Raw genomic sequence first — 10,087 nt, 5'->3', positions numbered from 1 at the left:
TGACAGTGCTTCTTGAATGTAGTGAGTTGTGAAAATTTGGTGTTTTTGTGTGGGGGATGAGAGTGTAGGCTTCTATTCTGCCCTTTTACTCTGTCTCTGCCTTAAATTTTTTAGATTCAGGGAGTATATTTGCAGGCTTGTTACATGGATATATTGTGTGATGCTGAGCTATCTGGGATATTATTGATCCCATCACCAAGGTAGTGAGCATATATTGTGGGATATAATTGATCCCATCACCTAGGCAGTAAGCATAGCACCCACAGTTTCTCATGCCCTGCCCTCCTCCTTCCCTCCTTCATCTAGTAGTTCTCAGTGTCTATTGTTGTCATCTTTATATTCATGAGTACCCCATGTTTAGATTCTACTTATAGGCAAGAGCATGTGGTATTTGGTTTTCTGTTCCTGTATTAATTTCCTTAAGATAATGGCCTCCAGACGTATGCATGTTGCTGCACAGGACATGACTGTATTCTTTTTAATGTGTGCATAGTATTTTATGGTGTATATGTGGCACATATTTCTATCCAATTTATTGATTCACACATAAGTTAATTCCATACCTTCCCTATTGTGAATAGCAATATGACTAATATGCAAGTGCGTGTGGGGTTTCTTTTTGTAGAATTTTTAATTTTCTTTTGGATATATACTCAGTAATGGAATTGCTGGTTGAATGGTACTTCTGTTTTAAATTCTTTGAAAAATCTCCAAACTGCTTTTCACAGTGACTGAACTAATTTACATTCTCACCAATAATGTATAAGCATTTCATTTTCTCTGAAGTCTAGCCAGAATTTGATTTTTTTTTACTTATTAATAGTAGCCATTCTGACTAATATGAGATGGTATCTCACATTGATTTACATTTCTCTGATGATTAGTGATGTTGAACATTAAGAAAACAACCCATTAAAACATTGACAAGGGACATAAGAAGACATCTCTCAAAAGAAGACGAGCTGGGCACAGTGGCTCACGCCTGTAATCGCAGCACTTTGGGAGACCGGGGTGGGCGGATCACAAGGTCAGGAGATCGAGACCATCCTGGCTAACACGGTGAAACTCCGTCTCTACAAAAAATACAAAAAATTAGCCAGGCGTGGTGGCGGGCGCCTGTAGTCCCAGCTACTCAGGAGGCTGAGGCAGGAGAATAGCGTGAATCGGGGAGGCAGAGCTTGCAGTGAGCCAAGATCGCACCACTGCACTCCAGCGTGGACGACAGAGTGAGATTCCGTCCCAAAAAAAAAAAAAAAAAAAAAAGATATAGAAGTGGGATCCTTATTCTATCACAATAAGCTGCCTTTCCTTTGCAAATACAAAATCAAATCATTTGAAAAATCACTTTAATTGTAGGGATTGACAGTATGTTTCCCCTCCTTCTCTATCTCCTTTCCTCTTTGTGATTTTTTTCTGATCACTATGAATCCACTCAGCAGATTAACTTCCATTTTTCATCTGTGTGAATTGTGCTGATGAGTTAGTCAGCTCTCTTAAAATCGCTAACAAAAAAGTTTTAAATTTCCTAGTTAGTAATACATTTTTAGCATGCCACAAAATAGTCTTAGAATAAGGACTTCTGGTCCAGGCATTATGGATTATGATGATTAGTTCTCTGATTTCTATCAGCTTTGAAATTAAGAGGTAAAAATCTAAGATAAATTGGACTTCATACTATTTATACATTTATTTGGTTTGTTAATTATTCCATAGGAAAACAGATGAAATACTTTTGTAGAATTCAATTCTGTTTCACCATATTTAGTGTTACAAGAAGGGAATTATATTGATGTAATTGACAGACTGAATTAACCTCAGTCATCACATATAATTTTTCTAGAGTTTTTTAATGGTATTGACATTCTTTTCAGTATGTCAATGCCTAGCTTGGGTTTCTGGGGAAGAGATGAATAGCTAGTACTACCCATCTAAACCATAATGTTCATTAGTTGGAATAATGGTGTGATATGATAGTCTTCAATATGTCCATGCCTAGCTTGGGTTTCTGGGGGAGACATGAGTAGCTAGTACTACCCATCTAAAACATAATGTTCATTAGCTGGAATAATAGTGTGATATGATAGTCTTCAAGATGATGCCCTCAATTTCTTTCCTCCCTGCATGCACATGCTGCTCTTTACCTTGACAGGTAGAGTCTACTGTCCCATTTCTTGAATCTGTGCTGGTCACAATGACTTGCTTTACCAATAGGATGCAGCAGAGGTCATATTCTAGGACCTCCAAGGCCAGGTCATAAGAAGCTTTGTGGTATTTGCCTGTGTGTCTTGGGACCAACTACCACGTTGTGAGGACTCCAGGTAACATGGAGAGGACAGATAGGCATCACACTCAGCAGCCAATATGCACTGCCAGCCATGTGAGTGACCTGTCTAGGCTCTTTAGCCTAGTTGAGCTTTCAGGTGACTTCAGCAGCAGCCAACCAACCACAACTGCAAGAAACACTCCAAAAGAGAACTTTTGTAGTGCCCATCAACCCACAAAACCATGAGAAATAATGTTATTTAAAATTACTAAACAAATAATAACAATAAACAATATTAAACAATAAATAATTCCTTAAGTTTTGGAATGGCTTACTATTCAGCAAGAGATAGCTAGAACAAGTACTAAATATTGCACAATACTGAATAAGTGTTAAGTTTAGTTGTATAATATACTTCTATATTTTAAAGCCATTGACATTTCGGAAAAGGGTGTAAAAGTGAGCACTGATTAAATGGTTCCCAAGAGAAGTTGCCTGTCGTATCTCAATATCATCATTCACCAATGGGAGCTGTATTTGTTTTCAGAAAATATACATTTTAATGTTCATTTTAAAAAATATACTAACAATTGTTTAGAAAGGCATATGCTATTTTGGAAAACATTTGAGCGAACCAGAAAAGTGTAAACTTTAAGGCTCTAATCATATTTATATGCTATTTAACCCATAAATCCAAAGTCTGATGGCAAATATGCTTATGTATTACTGATATTTGGATAAATAAGTTAAACTAACAGTTTTCTTTTTAAATGATAGGGTTTATAATTGGTATGATGTTGAGATGGCTGCAGTGGATGGACTCATCACCATAATAATATTTTCTCTTTAATACTTTTTTAGAACATTAAGTGACAACCAGAGTGTCTAAAACTGGGTTACACAGCAGTAATAAAATCAGAGTGACACTTTGCAGCAGCAGGACTGGAATTCTTGCTATTGGGGTTGGTGGCAGCAAACTCAATTATGGGTGACTTCTGCTTCATACTTAGATGGTGTGTTGGAACATTTCCTGTTTAGAACTTTCTAACACTTCCTGACTAGAGCTGTTTAAAATAGAAACAAATCCCTCTGATTTTGAATTTAGCCTATTTATTGTTATAATTTGTTCATATGTTTCTACTTTTTAGACTGTGGCTTTCTTATAGACAGAAGTTGTATCTTATACCTCTTTTTCTTCAGCAGCAGTGTGCCTGGCACCTAGTTGAATTGTCAGGTTCATTGAATAAGTAAAGTAAAATTATACTAGAAGTAAACTATTAAATTTATCAGTTTTACTCAGAAAATATATAGCTAAGTATGACAATTGAATCAATTCACTCACTTATTCAACAAACATTTTTTAAGTGACTACAGTATGCTATGAGCTAGGAATATGGCAGTAAACAAATCTCACCTTGTCTCAAACTTCAGTGGATCCAGGAGTCTCTAGAAGTTTAATTCTTGCTCAATCAGCAATTCCTTTTCACTGAAGACTTGACAAGAAGGTTTGAGAAGGCAAGAGTGTGTGAACTCAGCAGATGTTTGTGATGCACCTACTGTGTGCCAGCTGTAGTGTCACAGGGTCTGCCTGTGTCTCCTAGGAAAGGTGAAAACTAAGGACAATATTTTAAACAACAAATAATGCCAAGTATGCCACGTGATGGAGAAGGAAAGCGCTGGGTCCCAAGAGTATAACAGGCACTGAGCCTAGCGTGGGGTCCAGGCCTCTCTGGCATGGTGTCCTCCTAGGTCGTGGTTGTCCCTCCTTGTTGCTCCTGCTGTCTTCTTCAGTTACATCTGCTTCTCTGCATTTCCTCATTTTACAGTGTGTGGGATGCAGTTATCTCTGAACAGGAATAGGCAACTGTGCACCTGTTACGCCGTGCTTGATGCTCTGCATTGACGTACACTGGGCCCAGGTTTCCCTGGTGGACTGATTGGGCCGTTCTTGTCATCTGGCTCTGAAGACTTTGTTCACAGAGGTGCACTTGCCAGATGGGGGAGCTAGAGATCTGGGGCCCTCTGATGAGGCCATCCTTACCCTGCTTATCTTCCCTGACATACCTAACAGATGAAGCTCAGGTGGGCGATGCGCCTCAGGCCACAGTGTGGACTGTTGTAACCCAGCGAGTTATAGAGAAATGCCACACTTTGAGACAAATTAAGGAATCCTCTATTAGCTGGTGACCGAGAGGCAGCTAACGCTCAAAATTCTCTCGGCCCCGAGGAAGGGGTTGGTTTTGGTTTTATACCGTGGTCTAAATAGGGGAGGGGGGAGTTTGGCTGAAGCAATTTTTACAGAAGCAGAGCTGGCAAAAAGTTAAAAAATTAATTGGTTACAAAAGCAGTTGCAAAAAAATAAACAGTTCCAGGTGCAGGGGCTTAAACTATCACAAAGAGAGAAATGCAGGGGTTTTGGGTGCCATTCACCGAGCGCATCCCCAGGAGCTGCTGGCGCAGCTTGCCTCAATATCTTAACAGTAAGTGATTCCTGGACATGCTTTGAGTCAGTTTACACTAGTTATGTCCTTAAGGGAGGGAGGTAAAGGGGGCTGCACATGAAGAAACTAAAATGGAGTCTGTCCAGCTCTCTGCTAGGAGACAGTCACTCAGGTTAAAACAAGGTAGGTTATCACAGGACCATGTACAATTCTTCAAGCTCCAGCTTCAACTCTCTTTCTTATTGCTCTCTTAGGACAGTATATTTAGATGGGAGTAAATGAAAGTAATGTTATTAGGGGATAAGATTAAGATCGATCCCATTTGTAAAAAAGGAAGTAGATTATTTGTGAACTGTAATACTTTGTTTAGTGAAGAATCAACTTAAAACTTGAACCTGGATACAAGATAATTCCTTCATTCTGCAAATGTTTAGTAGCAAACTATATGCCAGGACTGTGCTAGGTACTAGGGATACATGGTTGAATATATAGTATAAGATGCCTTGGAGTGTCAGATAGTTTCACGTAAATGGCTCATGCAGTATATAGACAGTGTGGTAAAAAGAGACTACTGAGATGCACAGAGGACAGAAAATAAAGGGTCTTTGAATGGTGGATAAATGTGTTTGGACTTTTCACTCAGGGCTGTTGAAGTTTTGGAAGGTCAGTGGTCTCAGAGTTTTGGTGTTTTCAAGCACTGCTAAATACTTTGTTTCTAGCTGATGATTGGCCACCATTACTGATCGTCTATTGGCTCTGTCTGATTCAGCAATCCCACCACTGGGTATCTATGCAAAGGAAAAGAAATCAGTATATCAGAAAGATAACTGTACTTATATATTTGTTGCAACACTATTCACAGTAGCACAGATATAAAATCAACCTAAATGTCCATCAACAAATGACTGGAGAAAGAAAATGTAGAAAATATACAAAATGAAATACTATTCAGGCACAAAAAATAGAATCATAACTTTTGCAGACACATGGATGGAACTGGAGGCCATTGTTGTAAGTGAAGCAAGCCAGACACAGAGTAAACATCGTATTTTATCACTCATAAGCGGGTGCTAAAAGATGTGTAGGTATTGATGTAGAGAGTGGAATAATAATGGAGACACAGCAGGGTGAGGGGATGGAAGGGGTGAACAGTGAGAAATTATTTAATGGGTACAATGTGCATTATTCTGGTGATGGATACCCTAAAAGCCCTGACTTCACCACTATGCCATCCATGCTTACAGCAAAATTGCACTTGTAACCCATAAATTTATACACAAAAAACTTAGACCTCTCTCTCTTCTCTTATAAGCCTCAGAGCTCAGTGATCCCCTTGGATCTCCTCAGCCTGCTGAGTTTTGACTTTCCTACCTAAGGTGATTTTGGGCAGAGACAAGGGAGTGTTTCAGGAAGATGTTCTCAGGCACATGCTTCTGAAGAAGCATTGGAGGCTCTTCTAGTGGCCTTTATCTAGTCACTGCTTTAAGCAAGGAATAAAACATCTGTGGCTTAGATTTAAAAAACTCTGTTTCCCACCCACCCTTCAGACCTGACAGAAGAGATTTTAGGATTTTAAGGGAAGAGATTTTTCCTGACCCAAAAGGGCACAGTAGTGCAAAGGCCAATGTCACATAAGTACGTTTTCCCCATCTGTAAAATAACTTTCAGATACTATTCCCACAGCTGGAATCAGTACAATGTTTTGACTGAGGTATTGGAAAAGCCTATGAGCTCATTATCATTTGAACATATGAGTAATGTAAAATTTAGACAGAATTTTATTTGAAAGGATTATTTATGCAATTTTAAATTAACTGATTTATATTGCGGTTATTTCAAACAATAAAAATCAGGTTGTTGTGTTATGAGATAGAAATATTTACAATAACACATGGTCTTGATTATCTCACATGATGAATTGAAGATTAAAGCAAAATAATTTATCTTAGGGAATTCTGTGACAGTTTTGTTTCACTTTGCTTAATAATGACTTCAAACTGTTGTACATATATAGAGAACTCCTGACTAAAGAGAATTTTTGACTATTGTGCTATGTTTCTGTAACTTTTTAAGATCTAGAGGAACATACATTTAGTCTCAGTTGGCCAACTAAATGTTATGGAGTCAGCTTCTGTGTTATGTGCGTAGCATTGAAGGAATGGTGGAGACAAGGCCGCTGCCCTCGCAGAGTCTGGGGAGAAAACCTGATGGAGTGTGGTAGGGAACATGCTGGGAGCATCCCAGGATGACAAAAGCACACACAGATGGAACACCTGCCTTAGAACAGGGGAGGGTCAGACAAGGAGAAGTGTCAGGAAAAACAAGGAAAGTTTAATATGCAGGAATAGAAACACACTTGAGAAATCCATGGGGAATGAAAAGAGAATGGCTGAGCAGCAGCAGATTGTCAAGAAGGACATCAAGAAGGAGCAGCCTAAGAGGTTGATGGAGAACCAGGAGAAAGGTGACACTGAAGCCAAGGGAAGGAAAGTGTTTCAACATTTCTGGGAAAAAAATGACATGCTCTGTCTTAACCTTGCTGTTTTATGAGCCATAGAGCCACATTCCAGGTTCTGAGAAGTCCAGCGCTAAAGATGTTTCTTTTAGTTTGCTTAACCCAGCATTTGCCAGAATAATCTGGGCTCAGTGTGAGTGTGTGTGCATGTGTGTGCCTGTGTGTTCCACTAATATCTCACTGGGGCTAATGCTGTATACAACATAATTTTTAAAACACTAGTTTTATCCATCTTATGTTCAGCTGCAGCAATATTTAGAAAGGTCAGCTTTGATCACGTGTCTTAGTTACTGAAGAAAACAAAACAAACTAATGAATAAAGCCCACCTGGCAGTGGATCCTCACTACCTGTATGATGGAGCCCACCTGGTTTGGCCTGGGTGCCCTGTGCTGACCTGGCCTTGCTGCCCTCTGCCTGCTGCTTTGCTGCCCCTTTCCTCCTGGAGAAGGTAGAGATGCTCTGAGCTTTGGCCTGTCTGGAACATGTGTCCTTCTCCTAAAGTGGACCATGTTTTCCTGAGTCCACTTTAATCTCTTTTAAGGGTATAGAACTTTCCTTAAAGCTTTTGGTCAGGTCTCACTCTCTATGCTGTCTTCCTGCCACTTCTACAGTGTACATACTTTACTGATACATTAATTATGCTATACCAGCCCAGGACTTTACTTATATATCATTTTATATCATCATCTTTTTTTCTTAGAGCTTAGTTCACTTATTTGTTCAGTCTTTCCACAATATAATTGTATGCCATATAATTTTATATTTATTTTCATTGGTATTTATAAATCTTTTCTGTAAAAATGGAGGCTTTCTAAATAGATCTTCATTAATGTTGAAAGAACAAGGTTTTAAGTCTTGGTCTCAGCCAAAAGTAGTTCCCCGCATATCCAGGAGGGAAAGAAACACTTGCATCGTTGCATTAGATATTCTTACAGAGAAAGAGAACCATGTGTAATGGAAAATTGCTAACTTTGCCTCAGGGAGACCAGGTTGATTCACTGAGAAAGTTTGAATTGGTTTAGAAAGCATAGTTCTGAGTTTTCTAGGAGAAGGAGAAAAGTTAGAGTAGGGCATAAGAAGTAATCCCCATATCAAAAAGTTAGAAAGATCTCAAATTAACAACCTAACATCACAACTGAAAGAATTAGAGAAGCAAGAAGAACTCAAACACAAAGCTTATAGAAGATAAGAAATAACTAAAATCAGAGCTGAATTGAAAGAAATTGAGACAAGAAAAGCTGTTCAAAAGATCACTTAATCAAGGTTTTTTGAAAAAATTAGTAAGATAGATAGGCACTAGCTAGACTAATAAAGAAGAAAAGAGAGACGATTCGAAGAAGCACAATTAGAAATGATGAAGGGAATGTTACCACTGACCTCACAGAAATAAAAATAACAACCAGCAACTACTATGAACACCTCTGCACACACAAACTAGAAACCCTAGAAGAGATGAATAAATTCCTGAACACCTACACTCTCTCAAGACTGAACCAGGAAGAAATTCAGTCTCTGAACAGATCAATTATGAGCTCCAAAAATTGAATCCGTAATAAATAGCCTACCAACCTCCCATAAAAGCCCAGGACCTGATAGATTAACAAATTTTAACAGATGTACAAAGAAGAGCCAGTACCAGTCCTACTAAAACTATTTCAAGAAATAGAGGAGGAGGGACTCTTCCCCAACTTGTTCTACGAGGCCAGCATCATCCTGATACCAAAGCCTGGCAGTGACACAACAAAGAAAGAAACCTTCAGGCCAGTATCCTTGATGAACATCCATTCAATAATCCACAATAAAATACTTGCAAACTGAATCTAGCAACACATCAAAAGGCTAATTCACCATAGTGAAGTAAGCTTCTTCCCTGGAATGGAAGGTTGGTCCATCATGGGCAAATCAATAAAATGTGATTCATAATATAAATAAAACGAAAGATAAGAACCATGTGACTGTCTCAACAGATGCAGAAAAGGCTTTCAGTAAAATTCAACAAAGCTTCATGTTAAAAATTCTCAATAAACGAGGTATCGAAGGAACATACCTCAAAATAATAAAGGCCACCTATGACAAATTCACAGCCAACATTATACTAAATGGGCAAAATCTGGAAGCATTCTCCTTGAAACCCGCACAAGACAAGGATGCCCTCTTTCACCACTCCTATTCAACATAGTATTAGAAGTCCTTTCTGGAGCAATCAGACAAGAGAAAGAAATAAAGGTATTTAAATAGAAAGAGAAGTCCCACTACCTCTGTTTGCAGACAATATAATTCTCTATCTAAACTCTATAGTTGTGACCCAAAAGCTCCTTAAGCTGATAAACAACTTCCACAAAGTTTCAGGATACAAAATTAATATACAAAATTTGCTAGCATTCCTATGCACCAAGAAGAGACAAACTAAGAGCCAAATCAGAGAGGCAATTTTATTCACAATTTCCACAAAAAGAATAAAATACGTACGAATACAGCTAACCAGGGAGGTGAAAAATCTCTACAATGAAAATTATAAAACACTGATCAAAGAAGTTAGAGAAGCCACAAACAAATGAAAAATCATTCCATGATAATGGAGAGAAAGAAGTAATATCATTTAAATGGTCATACTGCCCAAAGCTATTCCTATTAAACTACCAATGACATGCTTCACAGAAGTAGATAAAGCTATTTAAAAATTCATATAGAACCAAGAAAGAACCTAAGTAGCCAAGGCAATCCTAAGCAAAAAGAACAAAGCTTGAGGCATCACATTACCTGACTTCAAACTGTACTACAGCACTATAGTAACCAAAACAGCATGGTACTAATACAAAAACAGACACATACACCAATGGAACAGAATAGAGAGCTTAGAAATAAGA

General features: G+C 38.4%; 1 annotated feature.

Annotated features, from left to right (window-relative positions):
- Nucleotides 4,778–5,072: a silencer, noted in NCBI's record as "tiled region #15711; HepG2 Repressive non-DNase unmatched - State 11:FaireW". NCBI's record gives its function as "represses a minimal TATA promoter and a strong SV40 promoter by Sharpr-MPRA in HepG2 cells {active_cell/tissue: HepG2}" and the evidence as "EXISTENCE:reporter gene assay evidence [ECO:0000049][PMID:27701403]".

This window comes from Homo sapiens, chromosome 3 (genome assembly GCF_000001405.40).
Source record: "Homo sapiens chromosome 3, GRCh38.p14 Primary Assembly".
Classification (NCBI taxonomy): Eukaryota; Metazoa; Chordata; class Mammalia; order Primates; family Hominidae; genus Homo; species Homo sapiens.
The sequence above is the reverse complement of the archived record's forward strand: the minus strand, read 5'-3'. Positions and strand labels throughout refer to the sequence as shown.